This window comes from Homo sapiens, chromosome 2, assembly GCF_000001405.40.
Source record: "Homo sapiens chromosome 2, GRCh38.p14 Primary Assembly".
In the NCBI taxonomy this organism is placed as follows: domain Eukaryota; kingdom Metazoa; phylum Chordata; class Mammalia; order Primates; family Hominidae; genus Homo; species Homo sapiens.
Window position 1 is genome coordinate 218,350,519 of NC_000002.12, and position 20,090 is coordinate 218,370,608.

The 20,090-nt window shown below is 49.4% G+C and overlaps 1 protein-coding gene, 2 long non-coding RNA genes and 1 pseudogene across 9 annotated transcripts in view, besides 2 other annotated features; 2 read left to right on the top strand and 2 right to left on the bottom strand.

The window, feature by feature from the left end:
- Window positions 1–7,448, bottom strand: part of CATIP-AS2 (CATIP antisense RNA 2) — a 31,726-nt gene extending 24,278 nt beyond the window's left edge. Inside the window, exons 1-2 of the long non-coding RNA NR_125777.1 lie at window positions 7,396–7,448; window positions 642–708 (exon numbers count right to left, since the gene is read on the bottom strand). This is a non-coding gene — a long non-coding RNA (CATIP antisense RNA 2). The remainder of the gene's footprint in view (window positions 1–641; window positions 709–7,395) is intronic.
- On the top strand, window positions 3,524–4,055 carry RPL19P5 (ribosomal protein L19 pseudogene 5; annotated as a pseudogene).
- Window positions 6,234–6,745: an enhancer, noted in NCBI's record as "H3K27ac-H3K4me1 hESC enhancer chr2:219221475-219221986 (GRCh37/hg19 assembly coordinates)". NCBI's record gives its function as "activates a minimal SCP1, AML or CMV promoter by ChIP-STARR-seq in naive H9 embryonic stem cells {active_cell/tissue: H9 hESC(naive)}" and the evidence as "EXISTENCE:reporter gene assay evidence [ECO:0000049][PMID:30033119]".
- On the top strand, window positions 6,339–17,576 carry CATIP (ciliogenesis associated TTC17 interacting protein). Of its 7 annotated transcripts, none has more exons than NM_001320865.2 (10): window positions 6,339–6,391; window positions 6,544–6,669; window positions 7,016–7,216; window positions 7,519–7,574; window positions 10,055–10,141; window positions 12,217–12,384; window positions 14,110–14,234; window positions 16,506–16,582; window positions 16,912–17,000; window positions 17,204–17,576. In NM_001320865.2, exons 1-10 carry the CDS (start codon window positions 6,367–6,369, stop codon window positions 17,444–17,446), a joined length of 1,197 nt encoding a protein of 398 aa, NP_001307794.1. In that variant the 5' UTR covers window positions 6,339–6,366; the 3' UTR covers window positions 17,447–17,576. The 7 variants fall into 7 exon arrangements, with proteins under 7 accessions (NP_001307794.1, NP_940961.1, XP_011509450.1 ...); NM_198559.2 differs by having other exon boundaries at window positions 6,577–6,669; XM_011511148.3 differs by lacking the exon at window positions 12,217–12,384.
- CATIP-AS1 (CATIP antisense RNA 1) lies at window positions 16,147–17,384 on the bottom strand. Its single transcript, NR_110573.1, has 3 exons — window positions 17,073–17,384; window positions 16,409–16,509; window positions 16,147–16,280 (listed from the first exon to the last, which is right to left on the bottom strand). It is a non-coding gene; the product is annotated as a CATIP antisense RNA 1 (long non-coding RNA).
- Window positions 17,366–17,675: a silencer, noted in NCBI's record as "silent region_12315". NCBI's record gives its function as "represses an Ori minimal core promoter by ATAC-STARR-seq in GM12878 lymphoblastoid cells {active_cell/tissue: GM12878}" and the evidence as "EXISTENCE:reporter gene assay evidence [ECO:0000049][PMID:35858748]".

Genomic DNA, 20,090 nt, shown 5'->3' on the forward strand with positions numbered 1-20,090 from the left:
TTATCCCGGTTATAAGGATAATAATTAAGCAAAATAGGACAGCAATGGAAACTGTCCAATATTTTAGTTAGAAGGTGCTACTGTGTATAACACTATTGCAAATAGTAGAGTGAGGACAGCAATTTCCACAAGTGTAGTGTGGTAGATAATTTCCACCTAATATTTTACTTGCCGGCCGGACGCGGTGGCTTAAGCCTGCAATCCCAGCACTTTCGGAGGCCAAGGTGGGCAGGTCACCTAAGGTCGGGAGTTCAAGACCAGCCTGACCAACATGGAGAAACCCCGTCTCTACAAAAAAATACAAAAAATTAGCGGGGCATGGTGGTGCATGCCTGTAATCCCAGCTACTCAGAAGGCTGAGGCAGGAGAATTGCTTGAACCTGGGAGGCGGAGATTGCAGTGAGCCAAGATTGTGCCATTACACTCCAGCCTGGGCAACAAGAGTGAAATTCTGTCTCAAAAAAAATTTTTTACTTGCCAAGATATAGAATTCCCCTTTTAGGGTCTCTGAAGTTCCTTGGTTTTATTTTCCCAAACAAAGAAACCTCCCGGTTATGAGCACCTTACTCACTTTCTTTACCTGGCAAAATTTGCAAGATAATTGCCCAGAACTAGAGTATTGATTCACCTTTTTACCTTACCCATCGCTTTTTTTTTTCCAAGCTGCAGAAGATCACCTCTTGATTCACAGGAATAAGCAGGGTTAGTCTAAAATGTAAGCAAAAAGTTTAAAAACAATTAATGAAACTAGGATTTAATGACAAATGTATGATAAGCTTTGGATCAAAATTTTTCTCTTCAGTCCTCATTTTTGGTAAGCACTAATTATGAATAAACTTTAGTCCTTTTAGAAATAAATTATCAGGGCTGCAAAAGAAATAGCACTCAAGACCAGGTGCGGTGGCTCACACCTGTAATCCCAGCAATCTGGGAGGCCGATGTGGGCAGATCACAAGGTCAGGAGATCAAGGCCATCCTGGCTAACACGGTGAAACCCCGTCTCTACTAAAAACACAAAAAATTAGCCAGGCGTGGTGGTGGGCGCCCATAGTCCCATCTACTCAGGAGGCTGAGGCAGGAGAATGGTGTGAACCTGGGAGGCAGAGCTTGCAGTGAGCCGAGATCGCACCACTGCACTCCAGCCTGGGCCACAGAGTGAAACTCCATCTCAAAAAAAAAAAAAAAAAGAAAAAAGAAAAGAAATAGCACTCAAACATAAATTTAATTTTCTCAGCAAGGCAATTTTACTTCCATACAAGGGTGTGTCTCACGGATGGAGCAATGGCGAGAGCACACCTGAACAAGGGAGGGGAAGGGGTTCTTATCCTAACTCAGCTAGTCCCTACTGCTGTGTCTTTCCCCTATTGGCTAGGGTTGGACCACACAGTCTAAGCTAATTCTGATTGGCTATTTTAAAGAGAGCAGGGGTATGAGCCAGAGTGGTGGGATAGGTAGTTTGGCAGGAAGGATGGTTACAGAACAGGTGACTCAGGATGACTAACAACAGAGCAGGTGACCAAGGGTGACTAAGTTCAGAGCAGGTGATAGAGGCTAGGAGGGGGTTGTTTACTGTAACTAGGGGCAAGGAGATGTAAAGAACGAGAAACTTTAAAATGAAGAACAAAGAACAGGAGAGCTGAATATACTGATACATTGGTTCTTTGAAGAGGATCTCAGAACTCATTGTGCTTAACAATTTATAGGCTAAAACCTTTGAAGAGGAATTTATTATATCCTACAATCTTATACTTGGCCTGATTATTTGCGTAAAGTGCAGCAAGAATGGTTATTTTTACTTACATAGGCCTTTTGCATTGGCTTTAATGAAACTCTGTTTCACAAGGAATTTCAGATAAGACTTTTAAAGCCAAGCCCAGCCATGGGTTTGTATCCTCTAACACCTGTGAGTTGGGTGATCCTCTCTTGAGGTCCCAAGATAAACTCAGAGCTTCCAGACCTGTTACAAAGTTATGTGTCTGTTCTTTTACCAGTACCATGCTGTTTGGTTACTGTGGCCCTGTAGTGTAGTTTGAAGTCAGGTAGCGTGATGGATGCAGCTTTATTCTTTTTGCTTAGGATTGCTTTAGCTATTTGGGCTCTTTTTTCATCTGATATTAATTTTAAAATAGTTTTTTCTAGTTTTGTGAAGAATGACAATTGTAGTTTAATGGGGACAGCACTGAATCTATAAATTGCTTTGACTAGTATGGCCATTTTATGATATTGATTCTTCCTATCCATGAGCGTGGAATGGTTTTCCATTTGTTTGTGTCATCTCTGAGTCCTCTGCACAGTGGTTTGTAGTTATCCTTGTAGAGATCTTTCACTTTCCTTGTTAGCTGTATTCCTAGGTAGTTTATTCTTTTTGTGGCAATAGTGAATGGGAGTTCGTTCATGAATTGGCTCTCTGCTTGCCTGTTGTTGGTATATAGGAATGCTAGCGATTTTTGCACGTTGATTTTGTATCCTGAGACTTTGCTGAAGTTGCTAATGAGCTTAAGAAGCTTTTGGGCTGAGATGATGGGGTTTTCTAGATATAGGATCATGTCATCTTCAAACAGGGATAGTTTGACTTCCTCTCTTCTTATTTGAATGCCCTTTTTTTCTTTCTCTTGCCTGACTGCTCTGGCCAGAACTTCCAATACTATGTTGAATAGGAAAATATAAATTTTAAAACATAAGTATTGGCTGGGCACGGTGGCTCACGCCTGTAATCCCAGCACTTTGGGAGGCTGAGGCGGGCGGATCACGAGGTCAGGAGATCAAGACCATCCTGGCTAACGTGGTGAAACCCTGTCTCTACTAAAAATACAAAAAAATTAGCCAGGTGTGGTGGCAGGCGCCTGTAGTCCCAGTTACTCAGGAGGCTGAGAGGCAGGAGAATGGCGTGAACCCGGGAGGCAGAGCTTGCAGTGAGCCGAGATTGAGCCACTGCACTCCAGCCTGGGGGACAGAGCGAGACTGTCTCAAACAAACAAACAAAAGTATTTTTAAAACTTTTAAGTTCAACTTACCAGTCATATAATTCTCATCATAAATCTAGTGAATGTTAACATTTTTTAGAAACAGGGTCTCACTATGTTGCCCAGGCTGGTCTTCAACTCCTGGCTTCAAATCATCCACCCACCTTGGCCTCCCATGGGATTACAGGTGTAAGCCCCTGCACCCAGCCAAGGGGGCTTTAATTAATAATTGGTTGGTCTTCTTTTCAAAATTAAAACTGCTTTAGGCAGCTTATACTGCAGTTGTTCATCCAATATATTTTATTTCCTTTTTTAAAGCGATTGATTGATAAACCAGCCTCCCAAATACCTTTACTGCAACCTAATAAAAGTAAACATATAAATACAGTAAATCTTAATTTTATTTTTTTTAATGTTCTGGTTCTACTTGCAATCTCAATAAGAAACTTTAAAATTCAAAATCAATTATTCAATAACCCAATTTAAACTTGAATCTGCAGACGTATCTTTTAAGCACTCTAATATACCAATTTTAAACATTTTAAGAACCTGAAATAACAGAGTTCTTTCCTTTCGCTGCTGCAGCCGCAGCCATAAATATGCTCAGGCTTTAGAAGAGGTTCGCTTCTAGTGTCCTCTGCTGTGGCAAGAAGGTCTGGTTGGACCCCAGTGAGACCAATGAAATCGCCAATGCCAGCTCCCATCAGCAGATCCGAAAGCTAATCAAAGATGGGCTGATCATCGGCAAGCCTGTGATGGTCCATTCCCAGGCTCCATGCCAGAAAAACACCTTGGCCTCCCGGAAGGGCAGGCACACGGGCATAGGTAAGCGGAAGGGTACAGCCAACGTCCGAATGCCAGAGGTCACGTGGATAAGGAGAATGAGGATTCTGTGCTGGCTACTCAGAAGATACCGTGAATCTAAGAAGATTGATCGCCACATGTATCACAGCCTGTACCTGAAGGTGAAGGGGAATGTGTTCAAAAACAAGCGGATTATCCTGGAACACATCCACAAGCTGAAAGCAGACAAGGCCTACAAGAAGCTCCTGGCTGACCAGGCGGAGGCCCGCAGGTCTAAGACCAAGGAAGTGTGGGCAGAGGATTACCCAGGTGCCGAGGCAAGAGACTGAAGGCACAGACGGTTTCAGTATAATAAAGAAAATAGTTAGAATAAGAATAGTCATAATACAAAGTAGATATAGAGATGATCATGGATAATTATCAATCATTATTATAAACATTATTAATCATTAGCTTTTAATATTACTCTTTGTTGCATTACTAATATAACCTAGGAATAACCGGCGGGTATAGGGTCAGGTGCTGAAGTGACATTGTGAGAAGTGACCTAGAAGGCAAGAGGTGAGCCCTCTGTCACGCCCCCATAAGGACCACTTGAGGGCTCCTTGGTCAAGCGGTAGTGCCAGTGTTTGGGAAGACGCCCATTACTTAGCAGACCGCGAAAGGGAGTCACCTTTCCTTGGAGGAGTCAGGGAACACTCCGCTCCACCAGCTTCTTGTGGAAGGTTGGATATTATCCAGGCCTGCCCGCAGCCATCCGGAGGCCTAAACCCCTCCCTGTGGTGCTGTGCTCCAAAGGTCACGCTCCTTGTCCACTTTCATGTTCCTGCCGTACTCCTGGTTCCTCTTTGAAGTTTGTAGTAGATGGCGGTAGAAGAAATAGTGAAAGTCCTAAAGTCTTTGATCCTTCTTATAAGTGCATAGAAGAAAACGCTGATGTATGCTGCCGTCTCTCTCTCTGCTTCGGCTACCTAAGAGGGAAGGGCCCCCTGTCCTGTGATCATGTGACTTGCTTCACCTTGTCAATCACTTAGAAGACTCGCCCTCCTTACCGTGCCCCCTTGTCTTGTGTGCAATAAATATCAGCGCGCCCAGCCGTTCTGGGCCACTACCAGTCTCCATGTCTTGATGGTAGTGGTCTCCCGGGCCCAGCTGTTTTCTCTTTGTCTCTTTGTCTTGTGTCTTTATTTATTACAATCTCTCGTCTCCACACACAGGGAGAACACCCGCTAAGCCCCGTAGGGCTGGACTCTACAGGTGGATCACTTGAGCTCAGGAGTTCAAGACCAGCCTGGCCAACATGGTGAAACCCCATCTCTACTAAAAATACAAAAATTAGCCAGGTGTGGTGGCGGGTGCCTGTAGTCCCAGCTACTTGGGAGACTGAGGCAGGAGAATCACTTGAACCTGGCAGGAGGAGGTTGCAGCTGAGATCATGCCACTGCATTCTAGCCTGGGTGACAGAGTGAGACTCTTTCTCAAAAATAATTAAAACAAACAAATAAATAAATAAAAATAATAAAAATAAAAATACAAAAATTAGCTGGGCATGGTGGCACACTCCTGTAGTTCCAGCTACTCAGGAGGCTGAGGTAGGAGAATCACTTGAACCCAGGAGGCAGAGGTTGCAGTGAGCCAAGATGGCGCCACTGCACTCCAGACTGGCAACAGAGTGAGACTCTCTAAAAAAAAAAAAAAAAGCGCCTCACCAGGAATAAGTCCAGTCAAAGAGTTTGCTATGTTGTCATTGTTGTTATCATTATTGTTACATGTATTAGAACTGTAACTTGCAGAGATATTCATGTAGCAGCTAATTGGATAGTGTGCATTTGAGACTCTGTCTGACTTTCGTTCATATCTTCTAAGGTCATTTTTTTTTTTTTGAGACAGATTACAGGCATGTGCCACCACTCCCTGGTAATTTTTGTATTTTTAGTAGAGATGGGTTTCACCATGTTGGCCAGGCTGGATCTCAAACTCCTGGCCTCAAGTGATCCACCTGCCTGGGACTCCCAAAGTGCTGGGATTACAGGTGTGAGCCACCACACCTGGCCTCTTCTAAGGTCATTCTAATGACCCATTTCTTCACTCTGCCTCTTAAGAATATCAAATGTGGGCCAGGCGCGGTGGCTCACACCTGTAATCCCAGCACTCTGGGAGGCTGAGGCAGGAGGATCACGAGCTCAGGAATTCAAGACCAGCCTGGCCAATATGGTGAAACCCCATCTCTACTAAAAATACAAAAATTAGCTGGGCGCGGTGGTGTGCGCCTGTAGTCCCAGCTACTCGGGAGGCTGAGACCTCAAGAAGAATTGCTTGAACCCGGGAGGCAGAGGTTGCAGTGAGATGAGAATGCGCCACTGCACTCCAGCCTGGGTGACAGAGCGAGATTGCGTCTCAAAAAAGAAAAAAATATATATCAAATGCTCCCTCTGCTGGACAACACCTCAAGCTTGTGCTGAGCCCCAAACCTGCAGTGTCAGTTCCCTCCAAGGTCTGGGTGTAGTAAAGTGGGTTGATGGCCCTTTAAGAGGCACTGTCCAGCTCTGGTTGCCATGGAGACAGCTGGACACAGACCGGGTAGAGGCAGGCCCACAGCATGTCCTCCAAGGTTTACTCCACAGGTGGGAAGAGGACTGCTGGGGCTGGAGGCGGGGATCCTCTTCTTTCTTCCCAATCCACCCTCGGGGTAGTCTTAGAGGATTCTGTTCTTGGGTGCTGGGGCCAGGACTGAGGTACCCTGCCTTGCCTCCCTGACCCCTGCCCTTCTCCCCAGGGTCTGCCATCTTAGCCTCTCATCCCTCTGTAGGCTCCAGAGCTAAGGACCACCAGCCCTCGGGTCCGGAGTGTCTGCCACTCCCAGAGGCCAATGCTGAAGCCATCGACTTCCTCAGCTCCCTCCGTGAGCTCAGACAGTGTCGGGGTTGGGGGTGCGGGAGGGGTGCAAGTCTGGAGAGGAGGGAAGAAAGTCCAGTCTCTCTCTCTCTCTCTCTCTCTCTCTCTCTTCCTTGATTCTCCTGGGACTCAGAAAAGGCCTGAGGCCTGTTTGTTGACATTCTTCAAGGGAAGGCCCCCCGGGGACATGGGGACATGGGGCAGGAGTCTTCACCTGTCCGTGCCAGTGAGGAAGGCTGTGGGATGAGGAGGCAGGTGGGGACTGTGGGGACACTGGTGGTCATGGGGTCAGAGGATTGGATTGGGGCCCAGGAGCAGGGGCTTTATCTGTTCCCACGGGCCCCTCACCCCAGACAAGGAGGAGCTACAGATGCTGTTCTTCTCTGAGACGCTGGCCATGGTCTCAGACACCGGGGAGCCTCAGGGAGAGCTGACCATTGAGGTGCAGAGAGGGAAATACCAGGAAAAACTCGGCATGCTGACATACTGCCTCTTCGTGCATGCCTCTAGCCGAGGCTTCTTGGACAAAATGCTCTGCGGAAATTCCCTCCTGGGTAGCGTTCCTACTGCCTGATGCCCGTCACTCTCCCCTTCCTCCAACCCTCCCCTCCACCAATTCCTAGAATCTTTTTTCAGGACCAAGCCCTTGGCTTTGCCTTGGACCAGGACAAGGCACGGGGTGGGAGAGGGATGAGCGAGTTCCTCATGGACTCGGGATGAGGGCACATCTTACCCATCCTGTAGTTTTTCTGGGACCGTATTACACCTAGTCCTCCAGCTGCGCCACCACCTTCCCTTCCTTCAGCCTCTGACCCACATCTCCTGTGACGTCAATGCCTGTGTCCCTGCACCCCAGGCTATCTCTCAGAGAAGCTGGAGCTCATGGAACAGCACAGCCAAGACTTCATCAAGGTACTTCCCAGGGCCCCAGCCTTGACCCAATCCAGGGGAGAGAAGACAGATTTTGACTTAAAAAACAGCAGCAACAACAAACCAAAAAACCTATTACATACACAGTGAAGCTGAAGAATAGCAATCGTGTTATGATGCAATGTAAAGCTCAAAAGCAACGCACTTCAGAAAACTGATTTTAAAACACGGGGGTGGGCTGGGCACAGTGGTTCACACCTGTAATCCCAGCACTTTGGGAGGCAGAGGTGGGCGGATCACCCTGAGGTCAGGAGTTCGAGACCAGCCTGGCCAACATAGCGAAACCTCATCTGTACAAAAATTAGCCAGGCATGGTGGTGCACGCCTGTAGTCCCAGCTACTCAGAAGGCTGAGGCAGGAGAATCGCTTGAACCCAGGAGGCAGAGATTGCCGTGAGCCGAGATCGCGCCACTGCACTCCAGCCTGGGTGACAGAGCAAGACTCCGTCTCAAGAAAAAAATTAAAAAACAATGAGGGTGGGCCAGGCACAATGGCTCAAGCCTATAATCCCAGCACTTTGGGAGGCCAAAGTGGGAGGATCCCTTGAGCCCAGGAGTTTGAGCCTGGGCAACATGGCAAAACCCACCAAAAATGTTTATAAATTTTGTACAAAAAATACAAAAAGTAGCTGGGTGTGGTAATGTGTGTCTGTAGTCCCAGCTACTTGGGAGGCTGAGGTGGAAGGTTCAGCGGAGCCCAGGAGGTCAAGACTGCAGTGAGCAATGTGCGTGCCACTGTACTCCAGCCTGGGTGACAGAATGAGACCCTGTCTCAAAAAAAAAAAAAAAAGAAAAAAGAAGAAAAAAGATGTAGGTTGGGCACGGTGGCTCACGCCTGTAATCCCAGCAATTTGGGAGGCTGAGGCAGGCGGATCACCTGAGGTCGGGAGTTGAAGACCAGCCTGACCAACATGGAGAAACCCTGTCTCTACTAAAAACACAAAATTAGCCGGGCGCAGTGGCTCACACCTGTAATCCCAACACTTTGGGATGCCGAGGCAGGTGGATCATGAGGTCAGGAGTTCAAGACCAGCCTGGCCAAGATGGTGAAACCCTACCTCTACTAAAAATACAAAAAGAAAATTATCCAGGCATGGTGGTGGGCACCTGTAATCCCAGCTACACGGGAGGCTGAGACAGGAGAATTGCTTGAACCCAGGAGGCGAAGGTCGCAGTAAGCCAGGATCACACCACTGCACTCCAGCCTGGGCAACAGAGCGAGACTCTGTCTCAAAAAAAAAAAAAAAAAAAAAAATGTTGGGGATGGTTTCTGGTTTCTGTGGGAAGGTTTTTAGACTTGAGTAGTTTCCAGTGTGTAAACAGGTCATGTTCACATTCCACAAGTTAATTAAGTGGCTGGGGCTGGGTGTGAGGGGCACAGAGCTGGGAGACTTGGAGGCCAGGTGAAACAGGCCCCCAGGGAAGGCTAGGCTCTGGGAAAGGCCAGCCCACCAGGCCTCCAGGGAGGCACTGGGCTCTCAGGCTGGAGGAGGGCTGGTGTGGGCTGGGTTCAGAGTTTGGGTATCAGGAGAACTTATCAGTGGCAACCTGCTGTCCCTGCACCTGGCCCACCCCCATCTTTTAAAACCAGTGTTCTGAAGTGCACTGTTTTTGAACTTTATATTGCATCATAACACGACTGCTATTCTTCAGCTTCACTGTGTATGAAAGGTGTTTTTTGGTTTTTGTTGCTGCTGCTTTTTTTTTTTTATTTTATTATTATTATTATTTTTGAGACAGAGTCTTGCTCTTATCACCCAGGCTGGAATGCAGTGGTGCAATCTAGCTCACTGCAACCTTCACCTTCCGGGTTCAAGCAATTCTCCTGTCTCAGCCTCCCAAGTAGCTGGGAATTACAGACATGCACCACCACACCTGGTTAATTTTTGTATCTTTAATAGAGATGGGGTTTTGCCATGTTGGCCAGGCTGGTCTTGAACTCCTGACCTCAAGTGATCTGCCCGCCTGGGCCTCCCAAAGTGCTGGGATTACAGGCATGAGCCACAACACCTGGCCCTGCTGCTTGGTTTTTTGTTTGTTTGTTTGTTTGTTTTTGAGATGGAGTCTCAAAAACAGCCTGTTGCCCAGGCTGGAGTGTAGTGGTGCGATCTCGGCTCACTGCAACCTCCGCCTCCGGGTTCAAGCAATTCTTCTGCCTCAGCCTCCCAAGTAGCTGAGACTACAGGCATGTGCCACCACACCCAGCTAATTTTTGTATTTTTAGTAGAGACGGGGTTTCACCGTGTTAGCCAGGGTGGTCTCAATCTCCTGACCTCGTGATCCGCCCACCTCGGCCTCCCACAGTGCTAGGATTACAGGCGTGAGCCACTGTGCCCGGCCCGGCTGCTTTTTTTTTAAGTCACAATCTTTAAACCTCAGTTTTCTCATTAATGGAGAAGGGTCAGGTGACCTCTGGGGGACCCAGGGAGTCCCTGATCCTCCCCCGCATGCTCTGGCCCTCAGTTCCTCATCCTCCCCATGGAACGGAAGATGAGTTTGCTGAAGCAGGATGATCAGCTGGCTGTGACCAGAAGTATCAAGGAGGGTGAGGTAAGGATGAGAGCCAGATGGGAGTTGCACTACACACTGTGAACCCAGAATATCTGAGACAGGTCCAGATCAATTTAGAGAGTTTATTTTGCCAAGGTTAAGGACGCGCACATGACACAGCCTCAGGAGGTCCTGAGGAAATGGGCCCAAAGTGGTTGGGGCACAGCTTGTTTTTTTTTTTTTTTTTTGAGACAGAGTTTCACATTTGTTGCAGAGGCTGGAGTGCAATGACGTGATCTCGGCTCACTGCAACCGCCACCTCCCGGGTTCAAGTGATTCTCCTGCCTCAGCCTCCCGAGTAGCTGGGATTATGGGCATGCACCACCACGCCCGGCTAATTCTGTATTTTTAGTAGAGAGGGAGTTTCATCCCTGTTGGCCAGGCTGGTCTCAAACTCCCGACCTCAGGTGATCCGCCCGCCTCAGCCTCCCAAAGTGCTGGGATTACAGGCGTGAGCCACCACGCCCAGCCTACAGCTTGGTTTTATACATTTTAAGGAGACACGAAACATCAATCAACACGTGTAAGATGTACACTGGTTCACCAGACGTAAAAATACAAAAAATTAGCCAGGCGTGGTGGCAGGCGCCTGTAGTCCCAGCTACTCGGGAGGGTGAGGCAGGAGAACGGCGTGAACCCGGGAAGTGGAGCTTGCACTAAGCTGAGATCACGCCACTGCACTCCAGCCTGGGCGACAGAGCAAGACTCCGTCTCAAAAAAAAAAAAAGATGTACATTGGTTCATTGGAAAAGGCAGGACAACTCGAGGCAGGGAGGGGGCTTCCAAGTCATAGGTAGATAAGAGACATGCTTTTAAGTTTCCGATTAGCCTTTCACTGAATACACAATTTACATGCTATGGGGGTTAGAAAAGTAGTCACTTATGCCTTACTCTGGCTTAGTGAAACAATAGAGCAGAGAAAGCCATCAGATATGCATTTATCTCACGTGAGCAGAGGGATGACTTTGAGTTCTGTCTGTCCTTTGTCCACAAGGAATTTCCTTGTGGGCAAATAGTGAGGGAGTTATATAGCTTTTTTTTCTCTTAGTAGCTACCTTGTTTAGGAATAAAATGGGAGGCAGCTTTGCCTGAGGCAGTTCCCAGCTTGACTTCCCTTTGGCTTAGTGATTTGGGGTCCCAAGATTTATTTTTCTTTCACAATGTCCTCTTCAGAACTCTGAGCGGGGACCAGATTAGATGAAGCCAGGAGTCCAGACTAACGATTCATTCATTAGGCTGGGCGCGGTGGCTCACGCCTGTAATCCCAGCTCTCAGAAGCAAGAGGCAGGAGGATAGCTTGAGCCTAGGAGTTCGAGACTTGCCTGGGCAATATAGCGAGACCCCGTTCTCCAGAAAAAGGAAAAAAAAAAAAGACAAGGATTCATTCATTAAAAACCATATGACCGGCTGAAGGCCAGGCGTGTGGTGACTCACGCCTGTAATTTCAGCACTTTGGGAGGCCAAGGCGGGCGGATCACTTGAGGTCAGGAGTGGAGACCAGCCTGGCCAATATGGTGAAATCCCCTCTAATAAAAATACAAAAATTAGCTGGGCGTAGTGTCGTGAGCCTGTAATCCCAGCTACTCAGGAGGCTGAGGCAGGAAAGTCGCTTGAACCTGGGAGCTGGAGGTTGCAGTGAGCTGAGATCGCACCACTGCACTCCAGTCTGGGCAACAGAGCAAGACCCTGTCTCAAAAAAAAAAAAAAAAAAGGCTCACGCCTGTAATCCCAACACTTTGGGAGGCAGAGGGGGCCTATCACCTCAGGTCAGGAGTTCAAGACTAGCCTGGCCAACATGGTGAAATCCGGTCTCTACTAAAATTACAAAATTTAGCCAGGCATGGTAGCCTGTAATCCCTGCTACTTGAAAGGCTGAGGCAGGAGATCGCTTGAACCAAGGAGGCGGAGGTTGCAGTGAGCTGAGACCACGCCATTGCACTCCAGCCTGGGTGACAAAAAGCGAAACTCTGTCTCAAAAAAAAACAAAACCGTATGCCCAACACCTGGCTTGCCCACCCTCCTGTCCCCTGCCCCTTCCTGGTTCCAGGACCCTGACCCAGATCAGTTCTGAACAGGAAGTGAAGACTGGAGTGACTTCTTTCCCCTGGAGCTCAATCAAGGGCTTCATCTCAGAGGCTGCCAACCTGGTGCTGCTCAGGGTGATGGCCTGGCGGCGGATGGTGCCCAGCAATGCCCGCTTCCTGACCTTGGACACCGAGGGCAAACTCTGCTATTTGACCTATGTAAGGGGTCCCCTTGGGCAGGGGACTTGGCTTGGGAGCGAACTAGAAAAGGCGTGAAAAGCACTGAGATGGGGAACAGCTGTGGAGTAGAAAAGGGAGGCAGGTGGGGAGAAAACAGCACAGGTGGGAATGGGGCTTTCAAGGGCAGGAAAGCATGTTTGTCTGGGAGTGTGGGGCAGATGAATTGAGAGTGACTGAGAAGTGGGAACAGTTCAGAGAAGCAACCCTTCCGCACAGAAGTCAGTCCAGGAAAAATAAATATAGTGCAGGGCTGATTTAAAAAATACATCATTTTGGGCCAGGTGTGGTGGCTCACGCCTGTAATCCCAGCACTTTGGGAGGCCAAGGCGGGCCGATCACAAGGTCAGGAGATCTAGACCATCCTGGCTAACATGGTGAAACCCCGCCTCTACTAAAAATACAAAAAAAAAAAATCAGCGGGGCGTGGTGGCAGGCGCCTGTAGTCCCAGCTACTCAGGACGCTGAGGCAGGAGAATGGCGTGAACCCGGGAGGCAGAGCTTGCAGTGAGCCGAGATCGCGCCACTGCACTCCCGCCTGGGTGACAGAGCGAGACTCTGTCTCAAAAAAAAAAAACAAAAAAAAAAAAACGTCATTTTGGCCAGGCGCAGTGATTCATGCCTGTAATCCCAGCACTTTGGGAGGCCAAGGTGGGCAGATCACTTGAAGTTAGGAGGTCAAGATCAGCCTGGCCAACATGGTGAAACCCTGTCTCTACTACAAATACAAAAATTATTAGCTGCGTGTGGTGGCAAGTGCCTGTAATCCCAGCTACTCGGGAGGCTGAGGCAGGAGAAGCATCACTTGAACCCAGGAGGCGGAGGTTGCAGTGAGCTGAGATCGCACAACTGCACTCCAGCCTGGGCAACAGAGGGAGACTCTGTCTCAAAAAAATAAATAAATAAAAATAAATCATTTTTTAACTTTAGGAAGTGTAACATGTCCAACTTTACTGAAATATTCCTTTATTATTTCTTAACCCCAAAGGGTGTTCCGTTTTTGTTTTGTTTTTTGTTTTTAACTAAAATTTCATAATCAGCATGCCTAGGACTTCCTGCAATCAGTGATTTTAAAGCCATGCCACTGAACACACAATTTCCAGTGAGACACTTTGGGGGCTGATTTGTGTTTCTTTGACCATCTTTGTAAATTACATTCCAGGCTTGTCTATCAAAACACACCAAGCAGCAATGCATTTGACATGAACAAGCACAATCCATTCCCCTCCGTGTTCTTTGAAACATGTGTTTAACATTAGCACTTTTTTCTCCATAGCTGCAGCTACAACAGGGGTTTAAGTTTTAATCACAACAGGGACAGCCTGCCAGCAACAGCACAGGTCTGAGGTGGCCACAAATCTGTCTGGTCTCACACCTCTGAGCCTCACTTTACCTCCACCCACTGGCCCTAGTAGCTCATCCTACCTCTCCGCTCCCACACCCCCCCGCATACCGCTTCTCATCCCTGTAACAGAATTTGCCAACTAGAAGCACCTGGTCAGCGAGATGACATGGGAGGGGTCAGGGCAAGGGCAACCTGGAGCTAGCTCCCTATGAGGGGTCGCCAACTCAGCTTGGAGGTTTGGAGATGCAATATTAAATGTCTTGAGGTTGTTATGAGATGGAGAAAAGGCTAAGGTAAGATGATGGGGAGCCCTTGGCGGGCATCCACCTTACCTCCCACCCCCCAATTTTGGCTGTTGCCAGCAAAACCTGGGCTTCCAGACCATCCAGGTAGACCATCAGCAGGCTGAAGTCTTCATCGTGGAGCAGACTGTCCACGCGGAGGAGGGCATCCCCATGTCCTGCCAGTACTACCTGCTCTCCGATGGGTGAGCTGCTGATGGTGGGCCCAGAGGGGTGGTGCTGAGCTTGTAGGTGCTCAAGGAGACCGGCTGCTTCTGGGGATAGCACCAGGAAGAACTGGCATTGAGATAGGAGTGTCCCTCCGCTTTATCCATATCATTCACTCTTTCTTCATTTATTTGCTCGTCCTCTTAACCCTCACAGTGCCTCCCAAACCTTCTCACTGCACACCACAGGCCTGGGGTGTAGCTAGTGCAGCCACCACTGTGTAAGGGATAATACTGAAAAACACCAAGGTCTGAATGACTGCACACTTGATGAAATCACTGTGCTGGAAGAATTGCCTGTGGCAGGCTGCCGTGCAGTCTCCAGCAAAGCACTGGCTCCAAATCATAAGAAAATTCAGGGCTGGGCGTGGTGGCTCACACCTGTAATCCCAGCACTTTGGGAGGCTGAGGCGGGCGGATCATGAGGTCAGGAAATTGAGACCATCCTGGCTGACACGGTGAAACCCCATCTCTACTAAAAATACAAAAAATTAGCCAAGTGTGGTCGTGGGCGCCTGTAGTCCCAGCTACTCTGGAGGCTGAGGCAGGAGGATGGCGTGAACCCAGGAGGCAGAGCTTGCAGTGAGCCGAGATCGCGCCACTGCACTCCAGCCTGGGTGACAGCAAGACTCCGTCTCAAAAAAAAAAAAGAAAGAAAAAGAAAATTCAGGTGGAAGAAAGAGTTTCTTTCTGTTTTTTTGTTTTGTTTTGTTTTTTTGAGACAGACTCCAGTCGAGTTTATTTCTTAAAATTTCAGAATAGATATTCACATAATCACTACACTGGGGAAAAGGTAATCAAAACATTGTTGGCTTTATCTCATAACTTAGTATGTTTTCGGTTTTGGTGCGATCATAGCCCACTGCAGCCTCCAACTCCTGGGCTCAAGCAATCCACCTGCTTCAGCCTTCCTAGTAGCTGGGACTACAGGTATGCACCACAGCTCCAGGCCAACCTTTTTATTTTGAATGCCGCATAGCAGGAGATTCCATAATTTTTCTTTTCTTTCTTTCTCCTTCCTTCCTTCCTCTTTCTCTCTTTCTCTCTCTCTGTCTCTTTCTTGACAGAGTCTCGCTCTGTCACCTAGACTGGAATGTGTGGCATAATCTTGGCTAACTGCAACCTCCGCCTCCCAGGTTCAAGTGATTCCCTTGCTTCAGCCTCCCAAGTAGCCGGGACTACAGGTGCCTGCCACCACGCCTGGCTAATTTTTGTATTTTTAGTAGAAACAGGCTTTCACCATGTTGGCCAGGCTGGTCTCAAACACCTGACCTGAAGTGATCTGCCCATCTTGGCCTCCTAAAGTGCTGGGATAACAGGCGTGAGCCACTACAAGTGTGAGCCACTGCGACAGGCCTCTTTCTCTTTTTGAGACAGTCTCGCTCTGTTACCCAGACTGGAGTACAGGGATGCAATCTTGGCTCACTACAACCTCCACCTCCCAGGTTCAAGTGATTCTCATGCCACAGCCACCAAAATAGCTGGGATTACAGGCGCCCACCACCACGTCTGGCTAGTTTTTTGTATTTTTAGTAGAGACGGCGTTTCACTATGTTGGCCAGGCTGGTCTCAAACTCCTGACCTCAAGTGATCCACCCATCTCAGCCTCCCAAAGTGCTAGGATTACAGGCGTGAGCCACCGTGCCTGGCCAAGAGGCTCCATGATTTTCGAGTGCTGTACCTCTAAAGATCCTTTTTGTTTTTTTTAAACAGGGGGCCTAATACTTGCCAAGCCCTGTGCGTTATTTGGAGATCCAGAAATGAACACCACCCAGGAACTTAATAAACAAGAGAGGGAGGCAGAAGTAAAGAGGCCCGGGACAGGTCTCTCAAGGGGCACTGTCATGTAGGAGTCTGCTTAGGCTGCCATAACAAAACACCACAGGCTGGGTGGCTTCAAGAGAAATATATTTGCTGGAAGGCAGGAAGTCCAAGATCATGGTGCCATCAGGGTTGGTTTCTGGTGAGGGCTGTCTTCCTAGCTTGCAGACAAGTGCCTTCTCAATGTGTCCTCACATGGCCTTTCTTCCGTGCATGAGTGAAGAGAAAGCTCTCTGGCATCACCCTTTTCTCATAAGGGCACTAATCCTATCTGATTCGGGCCCCACCCTTATGACTGCATGTAAACGTAATGACCTCCCCAAAGCCCCTACCTCCAAATACCACCACACTGGGGGTTAGAGAGACAATTCAGTCCATAGCAGGCGGTCTGGGAAGATTCTCACTCTCACATGTTGTGTTGCACTCCAGGCACCTGGCCAAGAGAATACAGGTGGGCTCCCCAGGGTGCTGCATCATCACCAAGATGCCCATCTTGAGGGAAGAGGGTGAGTGAAGCCCAGGCCTTGTGCAGGCAGGGAGAGTTAAGGGGAGTGGGGAAACCTGGGCCTTCCAGGATGCAGGGGGCTGGACCCAGTGTGCTGTAAACGGGACAGGAGCCTGGAATCAGCTGGAGAACATCTGCCCTCCAGCCCCTGACCCCAAGCAATAAGAGGAGGATCTTTCCTACTGGAAGTCCCTTCCTGCAACTCTGCCCATGTGGGCAGAATCCTGGGGTTTCACCTGAGCCTTCTGTTTGGGTGTTCTCGGGATCTCGCTGTGTATCCAAGGAAGGTTCCGGGGTAGGGACGCCCAGCCTTCCTTGTTCCCCACCTAGATGAGATTGAGCCACGCCCAGTGTTTGAGAAGAAGCCCCTGGTATGGGAGGAGGATATGGAGCTCTATTCGAAGTTCCTGGACCGGAAGGTGAGGGGAGGCTCCACCAGCCTGGGGTTCCCATTCCCCCATGGGCCTTAAATTCATTACTGATCTCTGCACCTGATTGAAATGCACACCCGTAGGGGCTAGAAGGCTCCAGCGCCCCTTAGCTCTCCTTGGAGCGAGCGGCTGGGGGCTCCTGGGGCGCGGGGGTCCCGTCCGGCTGAGGCTCGGGCTCTGTCCCCTGCCAGGAGGAGCTCCGGCTCGGCCACGCCAGCTATCTGCGGCAGCACCCCGAAGCCCACGCGCTCATCTCCGACTTCCTGCTCTTCCTGCTGCTGCGCCAGCCGGAGGACGTGGTCACCTTCGCCGCCGAGTTCTTCGGCCCCTTCGACCCGTGGCGTCCGTCGTCACCGGCCTTGGGCTCCTCCCACCGGCCCAACCCTTTCCGCTCCCTGGAGCCGGAGGGAGACGCCCGCTCGGGGGCGGCCTAAGCGGGGCCCAGGCCCGGACAGGGCAGGAAACCAGGGGTCGGGCTGGGACGCGGGCGGGACGCGCCGGGGCGGGTGCGCTTTCCGGGCTGCGGTTTTGGGGGAATAAATGGGGCCCTCCCGCTTCTCTGCAGCGCCCGTCGACAGCGTCCCTGGCTAGCGTCTAGTGTCTCGGGCTAGAAATAGGAACCGTTACCGTCGTACCTCGAGTAGATTTCAGCCTTTCCTCCTAGATGCTGTTTTCATCATTATCCCCATTCTACAGATAAGAACACAGAGGCACAGAAAGTTTAACTTTTGGAGTTGGCAGGTGGGGAGGCAGAATTTGAACCTCAACGTTGGACTTGAAAGCCCACACTCGGCCGGGCGCGGTGGCTTAAACCTGTATTGTCGGCACTTTGGGAGGCCGAGGCGGGCGGATCACCAGGTCAGGAGATCGAGACCAGCCTGGCCAACACGGTGAAACCCCATCTTTACTAAAAATACAAAAAATAGCCGGGCATGGTGGCGCGCGCCTGTAATCCCAGTTAGGAGGCTGAGGCAGGAGGATCGCTTGAACCCCGGAGGCGGAGGTTGCAGTGAGCCGAGATGGCGCCATTGCACTCCAGCCTGGGCGACAGAGCGAGACTCCGTCTCAAAAAAAAAAAAAAGAAAAGAAAAGAAAAAAAAGAAAAAGCCCACACTCTTACTAGGTTAGCACGGAGGGGCGGGCGCCTTGGCACTCAGATCTTACGGTCGCAGAGCATAATTGCCCAACCAACCGCCCAAAGAAAAATAACAAGCGGCGGGGGGTTGGGGAGGGAGGAGGGCCGACGTGGACCACCTCTGGCTTAGCTCAAACCCCCTGAAATCTCGCAAACGCAGCTAGCACTCAGGCTCGAGCTCCTCCCGGTTCCCACTGACACAGAGGGACCCCCAGACTCCGGAGGTGGGGGGTCCGAGAGTAAAAATAATGGGCAGATGATCGTCGCATCCTCTGGGCTCCTCGTGGAACGTCAGTGCTGGCCAGTGGCTTCTGTCCGGATGCTCAGTAGCAAACTTTAGGCAAGCTCCCCTGAGGGAGTGGTGGCGGTGCAGGCTCTCTCCTTCCCTTGTTCGTTCGTCAGACCTGCTGCTGCAGACTCCAGAGACGCTTTGCTCTCTAGTGGACGGTATGACCAGACACCTACAAGGCTGGGTTGGATGCGGGGCTGGGGGGAGGACCTGAGAATCACAGACAAAAGGCTTCATGGAGGACCATCACTTGAGTTGAACCTTGAAGGATTTTTTAAAAATATTTCTTATTGTCCCTCTCCCTTATTTCAAAAGAAATACATGTTCATAAGATAAAACTTGGGAAAGGGAGATAAACCAAAAGAAGAAAACGAAATCATTTTACTCTCTCTACCTAGAAGCAGCTGCTCAACGTTTTGGCAAATATCCTCTCTACTCTCCTATGCATAAAAGCAGCTGGTGTTTGTTGAGTGTTCACTCTGTCAAGCCCTTTTCTAGATTGTTTGATCTGGTCTTTATAACTCCAGGGAACTTTATTTATTTATTTTTGACTGGTTCTTGTTCTGTCACCCAGACTGAAGTACCATGGCACAATCACTGCTCACTGCAGCCTTGACTTCCTGAGCCCAAGCGATCCTTCCACCCCAGCCTGAGTGGCTGGGACTGCAGGCATGCACCACCACACTGGGCTAAATTTTTTTTTTCTTTTTTTAAGAGATGAGGGTCTCACTATGTTGCCCAGGCTGGTCTCAAACTCCTGGCCTCAACTGACCCTTCCACCTTGGTCCCCCAAAGTTCTGGGATCACAGGCATGTGCCACTGCATCCAGCCTCAATTTCCTTTTTCTTTTTTTTTTCAGAGACCAGTCTCCCTGTGTTGCCCAGGCTGCTTTTGAACTCCTGTGCTCAAGCAATCCACCTCCCTCAGCCTCCCAAAGTGCTGAGGTTACAGGCATGAGCCACTGCACACAGCCTCTATTTTTGCTATTATAAACAGTGTTGCACTGAACATCCTTGTAGCTAAATCTTTGCATATATCAACAAGTTATTTCCTTAAGGATACATTCTGACAAGTTACATTGCTGAACTAATTTTAAGACTTTTATTTTAGCATATTGCCAAATTCTACAGGGGTTGGATTTCTGTTAAGGTGAGGTAAAGCATTCCAGGCAAAGCAAATAACATGAGCAAAGGACAGAAGTAGGAAAGTGTAATGCATGTCTGTGGTCAAGAGCAGTGGTACCCAATAGAACTTTCTGCAGTGATGGAGAGTTGAGGGTGGGGACTTCAGGAAAGGCCTCTCTAGGGTCTCAGTTGAGCTGGGACCTAAATGATAAGGAGTCAGACTTGTGAAGAGTTGAGGGAAAAGCCTTCTAGGCAGAAGGAACAGCAAGTGCAAAGGCTGTGAGCATGGCATGTTGGGAACAGGCCATTGAGGCTGGAGCATGAAGGGGCAGGAGAAAAACACGCAGTAACTGCAAGATGGGCAGGGCAGGATCACAGAGGGTCGCCTAGGCTCTGGCAAGTTCTCTTCATCTGTGGGGAACCGAAACAGGCTGACCCAACCCCATGCACCCAGAACATTCCCAGAAAGATCGACAGAGCTCCCTTTAGTCCAGAAACCCTGCAGCGGTTGGAGGAGGCCAAGGCAGCAG

Bases quoted from the DNA above. Each gene is read 5' to 3' on its own strand.
- CATIP (NM_001320865.2), top strand. From the start codon at position 6,367: ATGTCCTCCAAGGTTTACTCCACAG. The intron at 10,142-12,216 runs GTAAGGATGAGA...AGTTCTGAACAG, and splicing joins GAAGTATCAAGGAGGGTGAG to GAAGTGAAGACTGGAGTGAC. The intron at 16,583-16,911 runs GTGAGTGAAGCC...TTCCCCACCTAG, and splicing joins GCCCATCTTGAGGGAAGAGG to ATGAGATTGAGCCACGCCCA.